Raw genomic sequence first — 22,297 nt, forward strand, 5'->3', positions numbered from 1 at the left:
AGCCTGGGTGACAGACTGAGACTGTCTCAAAAAAAAAAAAAAATGTTATGCCAGAGTCAGATTGGAAAGTAAGTCATGATATATAGGGTTAAATAAAACTCATCTGATGAAAATTTATGGTTTGTAGGGCATGATTCCCCAGACCCCTTAGATAGGAATTTGGGCAAGAAAAAAAATCAGAGCCTAGTCCTCAGAGCCCATGACTATAATGTCTTTAGTGTTTATACTGGGAGGTAGTTTATTATTATATTATGTTATATTATATTATATTATATTATATTATATTATATTATATTATATTATATTATATTAATTTCATTTTATTTTTTAGACGGAGTCTCGCTCTGTTGCCCAGGCTGGAGGGCAGTGGTGCAATCTTGGCTCACTGCAACCTCTGCCTCCTGGGTTCCAGCGATTCTCCTGCCTCAGCCTCCCGAGTAGCTGGGATTACAGGCGCGCACCACCATGCACGTTTGGGAGGCCAAGGCAAGTGGATCACGAGGTCAGGAGATTGAGACCATCCTGGCCAACATGGTGAAACCCCATCTCTACTAAAAATACAAAAAATTAGCCAGGCATGGTGGTTGGTGCCTGTAGTCCCACCTACTTGGGAGGCTGAGGCAGGGGAATCACTTAAACCCAGGAGGCGGAGGTTGCAGTGAGCCAAGATCACGCCATTGCACTCCAGCCTGGCGACAGAGTGAGACTCTGTCTCAAAAAAAAAAGAATCTTGTGTAAATACATTGACTAGAGTCTGAAGTCCCAAGTCTGCCTCTTATAGCCAGATAGTCTTAGTTGTCACTAATTTCCTCATTAATAAAAAGTAGAATAAATGTACTACATGTAAAATTGCCGGTATGACAAATGGGTAACATTTTCCAGATGGAAGCACCTAGAAAAATGTTTTGTACAGTGGAGACCTGGATATGCATTTATGACAAAATAAATGTTGGTTCATTCTTTTTTTGAGATGGAGTTTCGCTCTTGTTGCCCAGGCTGGAGTGCAGTGGTGAGATCTCAGCTCACCGCAACCTCCACCTCCCAGGTTCAAGCGATTCTCCTGCCTCGGCCTCCCTAGTAGCTGGGATTACAGGCATGTGCCACCACGCCCAGCTAATTTTGTACTTTTAGTAGAGACGGGGTTTCTCCACGTTGGTCAGGCAGGTCTCAAACTCCCAACCTCAGGTGATCCACCTGCCTCGGCCTCCCAAAGTGCTGGGATTACAGGCATGAGCCACTGCACCTGGCCATAATGTTGGTTCATTCTAAAAGCACACTCTTGCATGTCCAGAATTTAACATTAAGCAATTACTTATATGTAAATTTTTTTTTTTTGAAAAGGAGTTTCGCTCTTGTCGCCCAGGCTGGAGTGCAATGGTGTGATTTTGGCTCACTGCAACCTCCACCTCCCAGGTTCAAACAATTCTCCTGCCTCAGCCTCCAGAGTAGCTGGGATGACAGGCGCCCGCCACCATGCCCAGCTAATTTTTGTATTTTTAGTAGAGATGGGGTTTCACCACGTTGGCCAGGCTTGTCTCGAACTCCTGACCTTAGGTGATCCACCTACCTCAGCCTCCCAAAGTGCTGTGATTACAGGCATGAGCTATCGCGCCAGGCCACTTATAGGTAATTAAACAAAAAAAATGTACATAGCACATTAGGAAATCATACTGATACAGTAATACAGTCACTAAATTCTGACAGTTTGCTCTGGAAGAGCTTTTGGAGGATATCTTTTCCAATGTCCTCGTTTCTGAAGTGAGGAAACTAAATTCTCAGTCTCATAGTTTCTCTGCGGCAAAGCTAGTATTGTTGAAATCATTCAGGGCTTCTTACTGGGCAGAATCTGGTAATCCCCAAGCCTTCTGCAGGTCAGATTGGGTGAGGGAGTAGCCCCAGTAGTTCATGATGGCACTGCTCCTGTCTTGAGAAGGGTATGAATGGTTCTCCTTGAACATTCTCTTCCAAACTGGAAAGAACTGGCAAAAGAGGCTGTGAATACAACCACTTAGCCATCTTAGATGGGAGGTACCAGTGATAAGAGATCAGCTGGGTGTGGTGGCTCACACCTGTTATCCTAGCACTTTGGAAGGCCATGGCAAGAGGATCTCTTGATCCCAGGAGTTCAAGACCAGCCTGGGCAACATAGTAAGATCCCATCTCTAAAATAAAAATAAAAATGTTTAAAAAGATCATTGGCTGGGCGCGGTGATTTACGCCTGTAATCCCACCACTTTGGGAGGCCAAGGCGGGCGGATCACGAGGTCAGGAGATAGAGACCATTCTGGCCAACATGGTGAAACCCTGTCTCTGCTAAAAACACACACACACAAAATTAGCTGGGCGTGGTGGCAGGCGCCTGTAGTCCAAGCTACTCGGGAGGCTGAGGCAGGAGAATGGCATGAACCCAGGAGGCGGAGCTTGCAGTGAGCCGAGATCATGCCACTGCACTCCACACTGGGCGACAGAGCGAGACTCCATCTCAAAAAAAAAAAAAAAATCATACCACTATTGTTACCCATAATACATAGATAAGGACCAAGGTCATCAGTAGAGCAAGGATTAGGAATCAAGGCTTGTGACTTAAGATTCCTTTTTTTTTTTTTTTTTTTTTTTGGAGGCAAGATCTCACTCTCACCCGGGCTGGGGTGCAGTGGCATCATCATGGCTCACTGCAGCCTAGACTTCCTGGCCTCAGGTGATTCTCCCACCTCAGCTGCCCAAGTTGGGACTACAGGCCTGTGCTACCATCCCCGGTTATTTTTCTGTATTTTTAGTAGAGGTGGAGTTTCAGCATGTTGCCCAGGCTGGTCTCAAACTCCCAGGCTCAAGTGATCCACCTGTGTTGGCCTCCCAAGCCTGACTTGAGATTCGTAAACTCTTGAGATTTGTTCAAGAAGTTGACCTGCAGTCTCTGCCTAAGAGATTTAAGTAGCCCTAAAACGCTTAATCCATTCATCATTAAGTAGCCAATGACCATTATGTGATCTGGGGGCTTGCTTTCTATTCAGAGAGACAAAACTAGCAAACGTTCGACAATTATAAAATTGACTAAGCTGGCAAATCTTTAAAACTAACTAGACAGGTGCAATTCAGAGAAGACCACTAATGGCTGAAATGGTTGGCAAGGTTTCTTGGTGACAGGCTTTGATGTGGACTTTATTTATTTATTTATTTTTTGAGACAGAGCCTCACTCTGTCACCCAGGCTGGAGTGCAGTGGCACAATCTTGGCTCACTACAACCTCTGCCTCCCGGGTTCAAGCAATTCTCTGCCTCAGCTTCCCGAGTAGCTGGAATTACAGGCGCCCGACACCATGCCGAGCCAATTTTTGTATTTTTAGTAGAGACGGGTTTCACCATCTTGGCCAGGCTGGTCTTGAACTCCTGACCTCATGATCCACCTGCCTCGGCCTCCCAAAGTTTTGGGATTACGAACGTGAGCCACCACGCCCGGCCTGATGTGGACTTTAAAGCAGAACTTGCAAGATTTTTGCCCCTCATTGTGATGACCATAGTGTTTTGGTTTTTTTTTTCCAAAAAATTGGGAGCTTTCACATAAAAATCCCAATTTTTGAGGTGTCATGAAAAACTACAAAACTCAGCTTGTATTCCCACTACTGACAAGGGCTATCGCTGAGGCAGCTGACCTCTCAGACACTATAAGCCCTGGGCTCAACACATAGCCAATCCCATTACCCACCTGGCTCCTTAGGCAGTGGGTTTTCTTCCCTTACTTTAGGAGGAAGGATAAAGGCAGCCCAGAAAGGAGAACTGGACAGAGAAGTGAAGATGAGTGGGTATGTCATGAGGTGAGAGATAATGTTGAGACGTTTATAACTAGAACAGAGTTTTCATGTGAGGATAAGGTTCAGTCCCCATTTAAATCAATTAGCTCTGCAGTTGGGGGAGAATCTGCTCCCTAGGCCAAAACACCTATTTGAAATTAGCAGAAGAATCTGGTGACAGCCAGTGCAGCCATTTCAATAAATAAACCAAAAATAAACTGTGCATTGCTGCTGATGGACTTAAGATGCCAATTTTCTATATAAAGGGTGACACACTCAACTTCCTTCTATTCATTACATTTTGGCATACTTAAAAACTAACACACATTTTTCTTTCTTTTTTTTTTTTTTTTTGAGACGGAGTTTTGCTCTTGTTGCCCAGGCTGGAGTGCAATAGCGTGATCTCTGCTCACTGCAACCTCTGCCTCCCAAGTTCAAGCGATTCCCCTGCCTCAGCCTCCCAAGCAGCTGGGACTACAGGCATGTGTCACCACGTCTGGCTAATTCTGTATTTCTTAGTAGAGACGGGGTTTCTCCATGTTGGTCAGGCTGGTCTGGAACTCCCAACCTCAGATGATCTGCCCGCCTCAGCCTCCCAAAGTGCTAGGATTAGAGGCATGAGCGACTGTGCCCAGCCAAAAACACATATTAAGATTTGAAATTTACATTAAAATATAATAGATTATAAGTTTATCATAAATTATAATTTGTATTGCATAATTACATCTCACTTGTTTTTACTTAACTCCATTATGTAGTGCTGGTAGTAAGCAATATTGAGGCAGAATAGGGTCTGGAGGCGGGGAACCTAAGGCAGATTTGTGCTGACTTCCTAGAACTGAATCAAGAGGATCAGACTGTACTCCCTTTGGCTCCACAGTCTTCATTCAGAACTTTACTTCAGCCTCTGATTGGTCACCTCCTACAACCAATCAGACTGGTCGTGGGCCACTCCTTAATTTACATACAGTATAAGCAAGTAACCAATGGGAAACCTCTAGAGGGTATTTAAACCCCAGAAAATCCTGTAACCAGCACTCTTGAGCCCCTTGCTTGAGCCTGCTTACACTCTGTGGAGTGTACTTTTTGTTTCAATAAATGTGTGCTTTCATTGCTTCATTTTTTTGCTTTGTGCATTTTGTCCAATTATTTGTTCAAAACGCCAAGAACCTGTCAACTCATAGTCAAAACCTTTCACCGGTAACAATATGGTTGCCTCGCATGCTTTTTGTCCTAGGCAAGTCTGTGCCTCACTTAGTTTTTGTTTTGTTTGAGACAAGGTTTTACTCCTGTCGCCCAGGCTGGAGTGCAGTGGTGTGATCTCGGCTCACTGCAACCTCTGCCTCCGGGGTTCAAGAGATTCTCCTGCCTCAGCCTCCCAAGTAGCTGGGACTACCGGTGCATGCCACCACACCTGGCTAATTTTTATAGTTTTTGTAGAAACAGGGTTTCACCATGTTGCCCAGGCTGGTCCCAAACTCATGGGCTCAAGTGATCCACCCACCTTGGCCTCCCAAAGTGCTAGGATTACAGGCATGAGCCACTGTGCCCAGCTCTATTTGGTTTTATTGTATTCCAACTCTCACCCTCTTCTTGCTCTGGATTTGGCCTTCATTGCCTTCATGGTCTTCCATTGTTCATTTTCACAATTAAGCCCCAATTAGCCCACGATATGCAAAGGTTCTGTGAAAAAAAAGAGCCCCATCACAGCCTGGCAATCAACCCTAATAAAAGGTAAAAGGATTCTGAGGGATGTGTTTGGCTTGGAGAGTAACAATTTAAATTTGTAAAATGTGCCTGAGTACAAAGGAGGTTAAAAAGCACTACCCAGTGTTCCTAATATATATTCATTTGAAGAGCTGCTTTTCAAACCACAGGCTCTTGGCCTATTCTTCATTAACCCTATTTTCTTTTTCTGTTTTGAGTCAGAGTCTCACTCTGTCACCTAGGCTGCAGTTCAGGGGCACAATCTCAGCTCACTTGCAACCTCCACCTCCTGGGTTCAAGCGATTCTCATTGCCTCAGGCTTTCGAGTAGCTGGGATTATGGGTGCCTGCCACCAAGCCAGGCTAATATTTTGTATTTTTAGTAGAGATGGGGTTTCACTATGTTGACCAGGCTGGGCTTGAACTCCTGACCTCAGGTGATCCGCCTGCCTCAGCCTCCCAAAGTGTTGGGATTACAGGTGTGAGCCACTGTGCCCAGCTTTCATTAACCCTGTTTTCTGTTAAATACCCATAGAAAAATAATTGCTAATCCGTTCCTTTTAGTTCAAGTTCGCCATACTATGATGATATTTAGCACCACCCAGTGGCAATTTTTTCTTATGTTCTTGGGAATAAATAGCAACTTTGCAAACTCTTGATCCCAAAAGAGAATACCTCAATCAATAGAAACAAGAAAAAAGGTGCAAATCAAACTAAATTTCATTTTTAAAAAGTCATCTACTTTAAGAGTTCAGATCATTTTAAGGTTGTTTTCCTGGCCTCCTGTCTCCTTAAAGACAAATAGCTAGGCCTGGTGCAGTGGTTCACACCTGTAATCCCAGTACTTTGGGGGGCCAAGGTGGATCACTTGAGCCCAGGAGTTCAAGACCAGTTCAAGACAACATAGTGAGACCCTGTCTCTACAAAAAAATTTAAAAATTAGCCAGGTATGGTGGTGCATTCCTGTAGTTCCAGCAATTTGGGAAGCTGAGTTGGAAGGACTGCTCGAGCCCAGGAGTTCGAGGCCACAGTAAGCTATGATTGCACCACTGCATTCCAGCCTGGGGGACAGAGCAAGACCCTGTCTCAAAAAAAAGGACGAATAGCTTAAGTAGTTAAACAAAAACAACAATAAAGAAATTTTTCAAAAATTCTCCTTTTATTCTCTAGTTATAAACATGTACTCACTTTCAAATAAAATTCTATATTAGAAGGAAAGGTCTCTTTGTAAGGCATAGTATTGACTTTTTCTTATGAGAAAACAGGAAATATCATTAGTGCTTTTAAAAAACTGAAAGCGTGAGAGAAAAATCAGGGCTCTATCTAGAGAAGTCTAATTGTTTCTCTACAAAAACCAACTGGAATACAGGATAGCTCTGTCCTATAGCAACCTAAACCAGCACCTCCCTTGATGTGCATATAGAAAATCTATGTCTTGTGGCCGGGCATGGTAGCTCATGCCTGTAATCGCAGTACCTTGGGAGGCCAAGGTGGGCGGATCACAAGGTCAGGAGATCAAGACCATCCTAGCTAACACAGTGAAACCCCGTCTCTACTAAAGATACAAAAATTAGCCGGGCATGGTGGCGGGTGCCTATAGTCCCAGCTACTCGGGAGGCTGAGGTAGGAGAATGGCGTGAACCCGGGAGGTGGAGCTTGCAGTAAGCCGAGCTCACACCACTGCGCTTCAGCCTGGGCTACAGAGCGAGACTCCGTCTCAAAAAAAAAAAAAAAAAAGAAACAAAATATATGTCTTAACCAACTTGGAAGAAAAACAAAATTCTGTGTGTGGAAATATATTTTTTCAAGTTATTCTTCTTTCAACCTGGATTCAGCCTCAGGCTGCTGCTGACATCAGTGATCCTCTCTGGGGTGAGGCTGGAGGGCTTGCATTGCACTGGAAGGGCATGAGGCACACCTACTGCCACAGCAGAGAATCAAAGGACCATAACTGTCCCTTGGGGGGTTGAAGAATTCTTTAAAGTGTGAATATTTGGGGAACACAGACCAAGGCTGTGCCCTGATTTTCCCTTTCTGAAAGTCACACTTTAACTAAAATATTTCTGTTCTACAAATTTCCATATATCAAAAAAAAGCTGTAGAATTTAATTCATAGTGTCTTCTCAAAAGGAAGAGGAAAACAAAAACAGTTCTTCGTAGGAGTCTTTTATTTTTTGGTGTCTTAAATGTCAATGATCACAAAAACTTCCGGGTTCTCTTCATTATAGACCTGCATTGCTGAATATGTTATTGCTTTGACTTCTGTTCCCTAAAGTTGGGGTTAGAGAAAAAAAAAAAAAAAAGGAAAATAGGATATTGAAATCATAATCATTAACTCTAGCAACAATCAGCAGAAAGTAAAAATTTTAGTATTTTGAAAATGAAAAACTCACATGAAACAATTAGTTATCAAATTAGGAGAATATACAGGGATCCAAGAAAAATGAGAGGCAACACATGCACAATGGAGTTGGGACATGGAACTCTAATCCTGGCTTTGTTTCCACCTGGGTGTATAGAAATTGTCTGGCCTGTCTGGACATCAGTTTTTCATTTATAAAATGGGTTAAATCACATAAAGACACATCCATGGGTATGTTCACTGCAGCACTATTCACAATAGCAAAGACATAGAATCAATCCACATGCCCATCAATGGTAGACTGGATAAAGAAAATGTGACACACATACACCATAGAATACTACACAGCCATAAAAAAGAATGAGATCATGTTCTTTGCAACAACGTGGATGGAGCTGGAGGCCATTATCCTAAGTGAATTCATGCAGGAGCAGAAAATCAAATACCATGTTTCCATATATTTATTTGGGACATAAACATTGAGTACACATGAACACAAAGAGGGAAACAAGACACCGGGTCTATTTGAGAGTTGGGGGAGGGTGAGGATTGAAAAACTGCCTATCAGGTATTATGCTGATTACCTAGGTGACAAAATTATCTGTACACTAAACCCCCACAACATGCAATTTACCCATGTAACAAACTCGTATATGTACCCCATGAACCTAAAAATAAAAGTTGGAAAGAAAAAAAAGTAAAAAACTTTTGAGGATGATTAAAAAAAAAAAAAGAAAATGGGTTGAATCAAAGAACACAAGCTTTTCTACTATTTGGCTCAGGGCTCTTTCTGAAATCAAAACCACCTCCTTATACTCTGACCTAGGCCCTAGGAATTCAACTTATTCTCTTTTCCTCAGTTGACAACACTCACTTCACCTCTTGGGACTCTTCTCTTTCCAAGTCTAGCTGAAGAATAAGATATAGTTTCCCAGGTCAAAAGCTCTCCACACGTCTCTGATACATGACATTGCCCAACCCTGCCCCAGTTTAAAACCACAGAATTAGATGTTCTCTTAGGTTCTTTCCAGCTCCAAAAGGAATCTACAATAATTCTGTGCACCATAAAATGTACCAGGCAATAGGTAAATGGCATTTGCTAGCTCTACACCACACAAAAAAAGGAAGATTTCACAGAAGGATATAAGTGGCACTGCCACTGCTTTTTCTCCTCTGCCACAATCACCTGGCAAAACCACAACCTAATTCAAGTTCAACTGTCTGCTTATGGCAGCACACACCATGCTAACTGGTATCACCCTGAGTGTATGTCCACACATCTCAAACAGGAATTCAGTACTCGCAGTAAAATCTTACAATTACCAATAAATTCCCTTTTTCACTCTCTGAGACAATTCTTTCTCTTCTCCTCTAGTGATCATTCCTCCCTCATTCTCACTCTCAATCAACTGTGCTTCCTAGAGAAAGTAAGAGCAACTCAGTAAGAACTGACTCATTTTCCTACCACCAAATCTACCATCATGCTGTATCTGTACTCACCTTAGCCTGATTGCAATGAATGGCTTGTCCCTGGCTCCCATCAGAAGGCCAACTCCCATACGTGAGTACTTGATCCTATACTCCCCTTACCAAATTTTACCAAAGAGGCTGTGGCCCTATCTCTACAACCTTGTCTCCTACTATTACACCTTCACTCTCAGCTCCAGCTTGCTGTTCCCTGAACTTACCTCATTTCAGGGCCTTTACACCTGTTTCTTCACCTAGAAAGTTCTTCCTTATTTCTGCTCACTCCTCATCTCTCTTGCCTCTGCTCAAATATCACTTTCTCAAACATACTGATATATTTTGGCTGTGTCCCCACCCAAATCTCATCTTGAACTGTAGTGCTCATAATCTCCACGTGTTGTGGGAGGGAGGGAGCAGGTGGAGATCATTGAATCACGGGGGCGGTTTCCACCATGCTGTTCTAGTGATAGTGCGTGAGTTTTCAGGAGATCTGATGGTTTTCTAAGGGGCTTCCCCCTTCGCTCAGCACTCACTTCTCTTCCTGCCACAATGTGAAGAAGGAAGGGTTTGCTTCCCCCTCCACCATGATTGTAAGTTTCCTGAGGTCTCCCCAGCCATGCTGAACTATGAATCAATTAAGCCCCTTTCCTTTATAAATTACCCAGTCTCGGGTATGTCTTTATCAGCAGCGTGAGAATGGGTTAATAAACATATATTTTCTGACTACCCCCTCCCCTCCTCCAACCACTCTTACCTTATCCTGATGGCACTGTTCACTATCTGAAATTATATTATGTGTTTACATGTTTGTCTGGCTCACTTCTCCCACTACATTTTAAACTCAGTAAGGGCAGAGACTTCGCTTATCCTATTACATTTCTACCTCGAGTGCATAAAAAAAAGTCTGAAACACTGGAGGCACTTGATAAGTATTTGCTGAATGCATGCATAAATTCATGGATGGATGGCATATGGATTCATGGAGAGAAGGTAAAGACAGTATTAAAACCAGGAAGGTATTTTTAAACCAAGAAATATTCCAGGAACCAGATGTTTTAATAAGCTATTTGTAAAACATTCCTTTTTGCTTTGAAAAGTTGATTGGCTGGGCCCAGTGGCTCATGCCTGTAATCTCAGCACTTTGGGAGGCCGAGGCAGGTGGATCACCTGAAGTCAGGAGTTTGAGACCAGCCTGACCAACATGGTGAAACCCCACCTCTACTAAAAATACAAAAATTAGCCGGCTGTGGTGGCATACACCTGTAATCCCAGCTACTCAGGAGGCAGAGACAGGAGAATCGCTTGAACCTGGGAGGTGGAGGTTGCAGTGAGCTGAGATTACACCACTGCACTCCAGCCTGGGCAACAGAGTAAGACTCCATCTCAAAAAAAAAAAAAGAGTTATTTGATCATTCATTCAAAAAATAAGAAGTAGCTGGGTGCAGTGGCTCACGCTTATAATCCCAGCACTTTGGGAGGCCAAGGTGGGTGGATCACCTGAGGTCGGGAGTTCGAAACCAGCCTGGCCAACATGGTGAAACCCAGTCTCTACTAAAATACAAAAATTAGCCTGGCATGGTTGCATGGGCCTGTAATCCCAGCTACTCGGGAGGCTGAGACACGAGAATCGCTTGAACCTGGGAGGGGGAGGTTGCAGTGAGTAGAGGTCACGTCACTGCACTCCAGCCTGGGTGACAGGGTGAGACTGTCTCAAAAAAAAAAAGAAAGAATAATAATAATAAAAAAAACTGTTGGCTGGGCGCGATGGCTCACGCCTCTTTTGGGAGGCTGAGGTAGGTAAATCACCTGAGCTCAGGAGTTCGAGATCAGCCTGGCCAACATGGTGAAACCCCATCTCTACTAAAAATACAAAAAATTAGCCAGGTATGGCGTCATGTGCCTGTAATCACAGCTACTTGTGAGGCTGAGGCAGGAGAATCGCTTGAACCTGGGAGGCGGAGGTTGCAGTGAGCTGAGATCGTGCCACTGCACTCCAGCCTGGGCAATAGCATGAGACTCCGTCTCAAAAACAAAACAAAACAAAACAAAACAAAACAAAACAAAAACTGTTAGGAGTACCAAGCTGGAATTGGTGGTGTGCACCTGTAAGCTCAGCTACTCAGGAGACTGAAGTGGGGGGATTGCTTGAGACTAGGAGTTTCGGATCAGCCTGGGCAACACAGCAAGGCACTGTCTCACATAAACAAAAACTCTTAGGAATAAATGAAATTAATTTGCTCACAATCCATTCTGAACACTTCCAATGACAAATATGAATTTAGAATACAGTTATGTGCCGCATAACATTTTGGTCAATGACTAACTGCATATATGATGGTGGTCTGAGAAGATTATAATGCTGTTTCTTTTTTTTTTTTTTAGATGGAGTTTTGCTCTTGTCGCCCAGGCTGGAGTGTGCAATGGCGTGATCTCCGCTCACTGCAACCTCTGCCTCCCAGGTTCAAGCGATTCTCCTGCCTCAGCCTCCCGAATAGCTGGGATTACAAGCGCCCGCCACCGCACCCAGCTAATTTTTGTATTTTTAGTAGAGATGGGGTTTCACCACGTTGGCCGGGCTGGTCTAGAACTCCTGACTTCAGGTGATTCACCCACCTCGGCCTCCCAAAATGCGGGGATTACAGGCGTGAACCACCACGCCGGGCCTATAATACTGTATTTTTACTATACCTTTTTTTGGTATTTAGAAATATAAATACACAAATATTTACCAATGTGTAACAACTGCCTATAGTATTCAGTATAGTAACATGCTGTACAGGTTCATAGCCTAGGAGCAATAGGCTATACCATATAGCATAGGTTATAGCATCTAGGTTTGTGTAAGTACACTCCATGATGTTTGCACAATGATGTAATCGCCTAAAGATGCATTTCTCAGAATGTATCCCAGTAGTTAAGTGACCTGTCTGTATCTGGCCTAAACACAGGGGTCAGCAAAATATATATAGCCCACAGGCCAAATTGCCTCTTTTTGTACAGTCCCATAAAGTAAGAGTGATTTTTACATCTTTATTTATTTACTTTTATTTTATTTTTTTGAGACCAGTCTCGCTCTGTCACCCAGGCTGGAGTGCAGTGGCATGATCTCGGCTCACTGCAACCTCTGCCACCCAGGTTAAAGTGATTCTCCTGCCTCAGCCTCCTGAGCAGCTAGGATTACAGGCGCGTGCCACCACGCCCAGCTAATTTTTGTATTTTTAGTAGAGGCTAGGTTTCACTATGTTGGCCAGGCTGGTCTCAAACTCCTGACCTAAAGCGATCTGCCTGCCTTGGCCTCCCAAAGTGCTGGGATTACAGGTCTGAGCCACCATGCCTGCCCTGATTTTTACATTTTTAAATGGTTGGGGAAAAAAATCAAAACAATGACATTTTGTTACATTTGAAAATGATAAGAAATTCAAATTTCAATGGGCATAAATAAGTTTTACTAGAATACAAGTGAACTCATTCATTTAAGTATTATCTATGGCTACTTTGGTGCTACAACAGAAGCACTGAGTAGCTGCTCTTCTGTCATTCTGGGCCCACAAATCTTAAAACATTTATTATCTGTCCATTTTACAGAAAAAAACTGCCAACTCCTGTTCCAATAGATTTTCCTACCATAGAGTGAGGCCATACAGGTCGGCAAATACAGAATCTAGAGACACACAGAAAGTAGAAGGCACAATAGAGAACATCTAGTCCAACATCTTTATTATAGGAGAAGAAATAAAGGTCAAAAAGGCAAAGAGAATTTCAAATTCCACAATAATCTGAACAAACTTGACCCTAGAACCCAATGCTGACGCCTCATCCACTAAATCAGGTGTGTATAATCACAGTATTTTAACAAAATATATCCAGACAGGTCAGAGAAGCTTGAGAAAAACTTATCACTTTACACCAGTTAGAACTAACTGAAGTTGATTGTCACATATATGAACTTTATGGTAAGGAAATTTTTCATGTTCTTAATGGCTGGATTTTAAAACATACCTGAGGGTGCTTGGACAATGAAAATTCTTCTCCCCACCTTGAGAATACAAATTAAAACATGATTAAGATTTGTTCTCTCTTTATATGTTTTAAAATAAGCCTTGTAAATGTGGTTAACATGCTAGAAAGCCAAAAGAGACAGGAGGGGGTCAGGGAGCTGTTAAGTTTCATTTTCATTTGTCAGAAGATACAGCTGTTGAGGGACGTGTGTGCAGTGTCATCATTTGCTCTCAAGGTTGATAGTTAAGGCCAGGTGCGGTGGCTCATACCTATAATCCTGGCACTTCCGGAGGCCAAAGGGAGGATCGCTTGAGCCCAGGAGTTTGAGAACAGCCTGAGCAACATAGGGAGACCTCATCTGTACACAAAATTAAAAAAATAAAAAAAGTTAGCTGGGTGTGGTGGCACATGCCTGTGGTCCCAGCCACTCACGAGGAGGAGGCAGGAAGATTGCTTGAGCCCAGAAGTCAAGGCTGCAGTGAGCTGTGATTGCACCACCGCACTCTAGCCTGGGTGTCAGGGCAAGACTGTGTTTCAAAAGAATTTTTAATTATAGGCCAGGCGCGGTGGCTCATGCCTGTAACCCCAGCACTTTGGGAGGCCGAAGCAGGTGGATCATCTGAGGTCGGCAGTTGAGGTCGGCAGTTTGAGACCAGCCTGACCAACATGGAAAAACCCTGTCTCTACTAAAAACACAAAATTAGCCGGGCGTGGTGGCGCATGTCTGTAATCCCAGCTACTTGGGAGGCAGAGGCAGGAGAATCGCTTGAACCCAGGAGGTGGAGGTTGCAGTGAGCCAAGATCGCGCCACTGCACTCCACCCTAGGCAACAGAGCGAAATGAAAAAGGTCAGGCGCGGTGGCTCATGCCTGTAATCCCAGCACTTTGGGAGGCCGAGGTAGGCGGATCACCTGAGGTCAGGAGTTCAAGACCAGCCTGGCCAACATGATGAAACTCTGTCTCTACTAAAAATACAAAAATTAGCCAGGCGTGGTGGTAGGCACCTGTAATCCGAACTACTCAGGAGGCTGAGGCAGGAGAATCGCTTGAGCCAGGAGGCGGAGATTGCAGTGAGCTGAGATCATGCCACTGCACTCCAGCCTGGGCAACAGAGCGAGACTCTGTCTCAAAAAAAAAAAAAAATTTAATTCTAGTGGCCAGGCACAGTGGCTCCCACCTGTAATCCCAGCACTTTGGGAGGCAGAGGTAGATGAATCCAGGAGTTCAAGACCAGCCTGGCCAACATGGTGAGAACTCGTCTCTACTAAAAATACAAAAATTAGGCAGGCATGGTTCCATGCGCCCGTGGTCCCACCTACTCGGGAGGCTGAGGCACAAGAATGGTTTGAATCTGGGAGGCGGACATTGCAGTGAACCAAGATCACATCATTGCACTCCCAGCCTGGGCAACAGAGTGAGACTGTCTAAAAAACAAACAAACAAAAAATTAATTTTAAAAACTTTAAAAAAAGGTTGATAGTTGATCTCAAAATAAATGTGCCCCAATATAGTGTACCTATGGTGGAATCTCAATAAACATTGTTTAGTAAATATTGTTTCAAAACAGAGTAGTAACATATTCAAAATTTTTACTATCCTCAGTTATGAAACTAGTTAAGTAGGCTGGGTGCGGTGGCTCACACCTGTAATCTCAGCACTTTGGGAGACTGAGGCAGGAAGATAGCTTGAGCTCAGGGGTTTGAGACCAGCCTGGGCAATGTAGCGAGACCCTGTCTCTACAAAAGATTAAAAAAAAAAATTAGCCAGGCATGGTGGCATATGTCTGTTGTCCTAGCTAGGTGGGAGGTTGAGGTAGGAGGATTGCTTGAGCCCAAAAGGTCATGGCTGCAGTGAGCCATGATCATGCCACTGCACTCCAGGCTGAGAGACAAAGCAAAACCCTCTCTCAAAACAAAAACAACAAAAACAAAACAAAAAAGAAAAACAAAAACTAATTAAATAATACCTCCCACTGGAGAAAGCAAGTCTGAGTACCACAAAGGCAAAATACTAGACTCTATAATACAGTCCGAACTTGGTTTACACTTTACAACTTTTCCAAAAATATCCATGATCTGTATATAGAAGGCCCTAGAAAAGTAATCTAGAACTTAGGATCAGTCTCCTCTCTGTCTTTGACACTAATGTGAGTGAAGATCACAACGTGGTATAATAGAAAGAGCAAAGCTTTAAAATTCTGTTCAAACACTTATTAGCTAGTACTTTTGGACATGCTTGTTTCTTTTTTTTTTTTTTTTTTTTTTGAGCCAGAGTCTCGCGCTGTTGCCAGGCTGGAGTGCAGTGGCACAATCTTGGCTCACTGCAACCTCTGCCTCCTGGGTTCAAGCGATTCTCCTGCCTCAGCCTCCTGAGTAGTTCAGATTACAGGTGCCCACCACCACACCTGGCTAATTTTTGTATTTTTAGTAGGGATGGGGTTCCACCATGTTGGCTAGGATGGTCTCAATCTCTTGACCTCCTGATCTGCCCGCCTCGGCCTCCCAAAGTGCTGGGATTACAGGCGTGAGCCACTGCACCCAGCAAGCCTGTTTCTTTACTCATTAAAAAACAACAAAAAACAAAACAAAACAAAAACACAGAGAAGATAATAAAAGATCTCACTTTACAAAAAGAAGTGAATGAAATTCAATATAAAATGGGGCCACAGGAGTTAGAGACCAGCCTAGCAACATAGCAAGACCCCATCTCTATAAAAAATTAAAAATTAGCTGAGATTAGCCAGGCATGGTGGCAGGCGCCTGTAATCCCAGCTACTCAGGAGGCTCAGGCAGGAGAATCGCTTGAACTCTGGAGGCAGAGGTTGCAGCGAGCCAAGACTGCACCACTGCCCTCCAGCCTGGGCAACAGAGCAAGACTCTGTCTCAACAACAACAAATTAGCTGGGCATGGTAGTGCGCACCTGTAGTCCCAGCTACTTGGGAGGCTGAGAAAGGAGGATCACTTGAACCCAGGAGTTCAAAGCTGCAGTGAGCCATGATTACACCACTGCACTCCAGCCTGGGGGACAGGGCAAGACCCTGTCTCAAATCAATCAATCAATCAATCAAATTAAATTAAATTAAATGGAGCCGGGCGTGGTGGTATGCACCTGTTGTCCCAGCTACTCAGGAGGCCAAGGCAGGAGGATCACTTGAGCCCAGGAGTTTGAGGATGCCTGGGCAACATAGTGAATGAGAACCCATTTCTAAAAAAATAAATGAGGCCGGGCACAGTGGCTCAAGCCTGTAATCTCGACACTTTGGGAGGGCTGATGCGGGCAGATCACCTGAGGTCAGGAGCTTCAGACCAGCCTGGCCAACACAGTGAAACCCCGTCTATACTAAAAATACAAAAAATTAGCCAGGCGTGGTAGCAGGCGCGTATAATCTCAGCTACTCGGGAGGCTGAGGCAGAAGAATCGCTTGAACCCAGGAGGTGGAGGTTGCAGTGAGCTGAGATCACACACTCCAGCCTGAGCAACAGAGCGAGACTCTGTCTCAAAAATAAATAAATAAATAATAAATGAAAATAAAATAAAAAAGCTATATGTAAAAGTAACCTAGGAGGGCCAGGCACAGTGGCTCATGCCTATTACCTCAGCACTTTGGGAGGCAGAGGCCAGAGGACTGCTTGAGCCCAGGAGTTTGAGACCAGCCTGGGCAACATGGGGAGACCCCATCTCTTCAGAAAACAAAAAAGTCAGCCAGGCATAGTGGCACACTTGGTGGTCCCAGCTATTCAGGAGGCTGAGGTGGGAGGATCCCTTGAGCCCAGGAGGCTGAAGCTGCAGTGAGCCATGACCACACCACTGTACTCCAGCCTGGGAGACAGAACAAGACCCTGTATCAAAAAAAAAAAAAAAGAAAAAAAAGAAAAAACCTAAAAAATATAATTAAGTGACTAAAGAAACCTGAGAAACAAGTCCAATCAAAGTGACCTAATCAAGTGTTTGCAAACTCTGGAAGGAAAATAAAAGTACGATTTGTTAAAAGAAGGAATTGATTTAAATAGGTCTAGAAGTGAGAACATATGAGAAAAAAAGTGTCAGTGTTTCCCATCCACTAAGCTGGGCTTTATGCTGTGCCATTTAGCAATTACACATATTCTCTCCCTAAAAAATCAACAAATTGGGAATCAGATTTAACAATTAAAATCAACTTTATTTTGTTAAGTTTCTGGTCCTTCCAAGCCCTTAGACATCCCACAAAACTCAATCTGCAAGTGGCCCTCTGATTTATGTTTCCATCTGTTTCCTTGCTCATTGAATTCAATGAAGAATATAACTTTAACTCGGTACTTAAAAGACTTTCAAAACTTACCCAATTGATCGTAATTTGAAATTTCTTTGATCAATGCTAAGTACTTTCACTTCCTAGACAGGAAGAAAAATTTTTTAATTAAAAAAAGTTCATAATAGACTATCTACTAAAAATCTTTTTGTTCTGTTTTGTTTTTTTGGACCATCTACTAAAAATTGGTAAAACCTTTTTTTTTTTTTTTTTTTTTTTTTTTGAGATGGAGCCTTACTCCATCGCCCAGGCTGGAGTACAGTGGCGTGATCTCGGCTCACTGCAACCTCCACCTCCCAGGTTCAAGCAATTCTCCTGTCTCAACCTGCTGAGCATCTGGGACTACAGGCGCCTGCCACCACGCCCGGCCAATCAATTTTTTTTGTATTTTTAGTAGAGACGGGGTTTCACCTTATTGGTCAGACTGGTCTCGAACTCCTGACCTCAGGTGATCCACCTGCCTCGGCTTCCCAAAGTGCTGGGATTACAGGCGTAAGCCACCGCGCCTGGCCTTTACAACCTTTTCTAGAAAACAATAGCACACAACTTCTGTGAAGCAAAGAAAATTAAAATGTTAGCTAAAATAGGACAACAAATGAGATATATATGTATGCAGTTTTTTTTGTTTGTTTGTTTGAGACAAGGTTTCACTCTGTTGCCCAGTCTGGAGTGCCATGGCATGATCTTGGCTCACTGCAACCTTCACCTCCCGAGCTCAAGCAATCCTCCCACCTCAGCCTCTGGAGTAGCTGGGACCACAGGCATGTGCCACTGCGCCCAGATAATTATTGTTTTTTTGTTTTTTTTGAGACAGGGAGTTTCGCCATGTTGCCCAAGCTGAGTATTAAATATATTTCAAGGAAATAAGTTTTTTCTTACATATTCAAGGGAGGTATTCTAGAAAAATGTAAGATCTAAAAATATGAGTCAAAAGAATTTCTCTGCAAGATATATGGTAGAGAACTACTCTGGGCACACAGGGGCAGTACCTCTGCCGCTGCTGTACACTGCCACTTCAATAAAAGCTGTTGTTTAACGCTGGGGGAAAACAGATATATGGTGGAGGAGGACGACATAGGATTTCAATCACTCTGAGCCTAATAAACTACTGGTAGGCACTTGAATTCTGTAGGATGAGTGACTCAGTTGATAGAATGAGTATAAGTAGTGAAGCTGGTAAAGCAGAGAATGGAGGAATTATAAAAGCAGAGAGTGCCATCTCTATTAAATAACAATGACATTGCAGATGTGTTCCCTTCTAAAGGATGACAGCAGCAAGCAATCTCCATTTGGCTTTTCCTTTTTTCATGTTAAGGAAAACTAAAAGCTGCAGTTGTTTAACTTAGGCCAATGTGACAGGGCTACTAAATTTCATGGAACAAAAGGAAAAAATGGATGGACATAAATATAGCTCAAACTTGGGAAACATAAAAAGTGTGGATGAGGCTGCGTGCAATGCTCACACCTGTAATCCCAGCACTTTGCAAAATTGAGGCAGGAGGATTGCCGGAAGCTAGGAGTTCAAGACTAGCCTCGACAACATAGCAACACCCTGTCTCTATCAAAAACAAAAACAGAAAAAAATGTGGATGAAAACTGTAGGTACATTTTTATCACACAATCCTGATTAGTGACAAATACATGAGATCTAAATACGAAATGTTCCCACATAGGCAAATGCAGGTTAACCAGGAAGTGCCCGTGGTCATTATAATCTCTGCAAATCAGTATCATCTTATTTGTATGGATTGGTTTTGTTTCACATGTCCTATTTTAAATCATCTGTTCTATTTTAAAATATGAACTAAGAATCCATTTGCTCAGTAAAAAAGAAAAACCTTTGCTTACCCGGGGTATGAAGAATTCATCAGCACTGAACTTATAAAGCCATTCATCCAAAAAGTGAAACAGAAGAGACTGTAAGTCATCTCCTACACAAGATCAAATAGTATATTTAATAATTCTGGTCTCTAAAAACATACTTGAATTTAAAAGTGCAATAAATAAATGTCTTAGGTCAGTTTAAAGAGAAAGAAAAGACTCATCCTTAATTTTCTGGTTCTTTTTGTGAAAATATACTCAGATTATGTAGAATACTGCACAATTCTATACAGTACTGTATAACAATTTCTTCCTTGTGAATAAATCATTTACCTTGGGTTTCTACTTCTACTGTTTGGAGGGGCTCCACTGTCCCAGTATCTGTCATGTAACCAAACATGGCCATTGCACATTGCTCAAATGCTTCCTCCAGAGTATCTCCCCATGCGTGTAACCTAAAGAAGTATATTCATGCTCTGTGTAATACAATCCACTGCAAGAAAGAAAATTTGATAGCAGGCAAAGTCAAAATAAATTCAGTATGATAAATACAAATTTTAAGGCCTCAATCAATTTAACAGCACTGCAACCAGGTGCTTTTCTTTTTATTATTTATTTATGATTTTTTAGACTGAGTCTCACTCTGTTGCCCAAGCTGGAGTGCAGTAGTGCGATCTCGGGTCACTGCAACCTCTGCCTCCTGGGTTCAAGCAATTCTCCTGCCTCAGCCTCACAAGTAGCTGGGATTACAGGCAGGCACCACCAGACCCGGCTAATTTTTGTATTTTTAGTAGAGACGGGGTTTTACCATGTTGGTCAGGCTGGTCTCGAACTCCTGACCTCATGATCCGTCCGCCTCAGCCTCCCAAAGTGCTGGGATTACAGGCGTTGAGCCACCACACCCGGCCTTATTTTTATTTTTTATTTTTTGAGATGGGGTCTCTCTGTCACCCAGGCTGGGGTGCAGTGGTGCAATCTCGGCTCACTGAGCCACTGAACCCTGCAAAACTGAGTGCTTTCAAACCATCATTTTCATATTGTGAAGGAACCAAAATGAGAGGAGAAAAATTAAAGATAGGGATACCAAGATTGAAACATTCAGTCTTCCTACTGACGTGGTTTCAAAGGAATGAACTCCCGCTATACTCACTGGACATCTGCTGTATGATCCAAATCTGAGGGACAGAGGGAAAAACACTTATAAGACACTAAACTTGACTCTCAAATCACACACACAAAATAACTCTAGTCCATTATTATTAGGAATATCATCTTTAAAGAGCAAGAAAATGTGGGCCAGTCCATCCACACCTTTTGCTATCTATTCACTCAACAAAGCTAATTGCTTTGCTTTGTTGGAATCTTTTTTTTTTTGCGGGGACAGAGAGCCAAGATCGCGCCACTGCACTCCAGCCTGGGCAACAGAGCAAGACTCCATCTCAAAAATAAATAAATAAATAAATAAAATTCCAGGTTTCTGTCTCACCTTTTCTTTTACAGTGAACCTAATCCTAGATAAAATCAATTTAGAAAATAAACTCCACAATATATGAGCTTTTTCCTGATATTCCCACAGGAAAACCAGAAAGTAACAAACGGTACTATAGCACATTCCCATTGGATCTCTCCTCTCAACATTCTTCATCCATATCATGACTCTTTTTTTTTTTTTTAGTTGGAGTTTCACTCTGTCACCCAGGCTGGAGTACAGTGGCGCGATCTTGGCTCACTGCAGCCTCTGCCTCCAGGGTTCAAGTGATTCTCCTGCCTCAGCCTCCTGAGTAGCTGGGATTACAGGCGCACACCACCACACCCAGCTAATTTTTGTATTTTTAGTAGAGATGGGGTTTCACCATGTTGGCCAGACTGCTCTTGAACTCTTGACCTCAGGTGATCCGCCCACCTAGGCCTCCCAAAGTGCTGGGATCACAGACAGGCGTGAGCCACTGCGCCTGGCCCACAACATGACTTTCATCAATTCTTCCCACTTAGGATCATAGAATATTAGGGCTGGAAGGAATTCCTGGAGATCATGAATATGATTCCTTCACTTGGAACTGCCTTTGCAAAATTATAACTAAGGAAATTATGACAGTGAAAGAAATCGGACCTAACTGACTCCATCTTACTTCTAACCTGTAAATTGTCCTTGTTCATTTCTGGTGGGCCCAACTAACTTTGAGAAGGAATTCAGTTCATGGTTAGACTCTGAAACAAGATTAGTAACAGCCCTTTCCCGAAAAGACCCCCTTCTTGCCTGGGGACCAACCAGTCTGTCTTTCTGGGATTAACAAATTAGCTACAAGATTAGAAATTAGAGTTTAAGGGTCATGTAGCCTCTAGCTCTAACAGTCTGAACCTCCCCAAATTGCTCTCGTGGATAACATCACTATTGTAAAACCTAAGATCAGTACTTGAGATATTTTGCAGACCCTGCACTCAGCTGACACCACCCAGACTCGTTATCTGGCTCAACCAGTTTTGCCATCCCACCCAGGAAGAGAAGACAGCAAGAAAAACTCACTTCAATCCCCTGTGATTCCATCTCCAACCTGACCAATCAGTAGTATCCACTTCCCAAGCCCCTACCAGCCAAATTGTCTTTAAAAACTCTGATCCCCAAATGCTCAGGGAGACTGATTTGAGTAATAAAACTCCGGTCTCAAGCACAACCAGCTCTGCGTAAATTAGTCTTTTTCCACTGCAATTCCCCCATCTTGATGAATCGGCTTTGTCTGGGCAGCAGGCAAAGTTAACCCATTGGGCGGTTACACTTATAAGAAAAACTTGAGTCTGGGCGCAGTTGCTCACGCCTGTAATCCCAGCACTTCGGGAGGCCGAGGCAGGTGGATCACAAGGTCAGGAG

At 43.2% G+C, this 22,297-nt stretch overlaps 1 protein-coding gene across 41 annotated transcripts in view, besides 1 other annotated feature; it reads right to left on the reverse strand.

The window, feature by feature from the left end:
* Nucleotides 1–6,633: 6,633 nt before the first annotated feature.
* ZBTB8OS (zinc finger and BTB domain containing 8 opposite strand) overlaps nt 6,634–22,297 on the reverse strand; it is a 30,113-nt gene continuing 14,449 nt past the window's right edge. For 4 of the 41 annotated variants that reach the window (NM_001366257.1, NM_001308141.2, NM_001308140.2 and 1 more), the window contains exons 2-7: nt 20,582–20,606; nt 19,765–19,886; nt 19,459–19,541; nt 17,641–17,693; nt 13,322–13,358; nt 6,634–7,762 (exon numbers count right to left, since the gene is read on the reverse strand). In NM_001366257.1, coding sequence (NP_001353186.1) covers nt 7,676–7,762; nt 13,322–13,358; nt 17,641–17,693; nt 19,459–19,541; nt 19,765–19,837 — 333 coding nt within the window. In that variant the 5' untranslated portion in view covers nt 19,838–19,886; nt 20,582–20,606 and the 3' untranslated portion in view covers nt 6,634–7,675. Of the gene's footprint in view, nt 7,763–13,321; nt 13,359–13,590; nt 13,680–17,640; nt 17,694–18,021; nt 18,160–18,392; nt 19,169–19,458; nt 19,542–19,764; nt 19,925–20,515; nt 20,613–22,297 lie in introns of those variants that run through there. The other 37 variants (NM_001308139.2, NM_001366260.1, NM_001366259.1 and 34 more) reach the window with 28 other exon arrangements.
* Nucleotides 9,523–9,592: an enhancer, noted in NCBI's record as "active region_694". NCBI's record gives its function as "activates an Ori minimal core promoter by ATAC-STARR-seq in GM12878 lymphoblastoid cells {active_cell/tissue: GM12878}" and the evidence as "EXISTENCE:reporter gene assay evidence [ECO:0000049][PMID:35858748]".

Source organism: Homo sapiens, chromosome 1 (genome assembly GCF_000001405.40).
Source record: "Homo sapiens chromosome 1, GRCh38.p14 Primary Assembly".
Classification (NCBI taxonomy): Eukaryota; Metazoa; Chordata; class Mammalia; order Primates; family Hominidae; genus Homo; species Homo sapiens.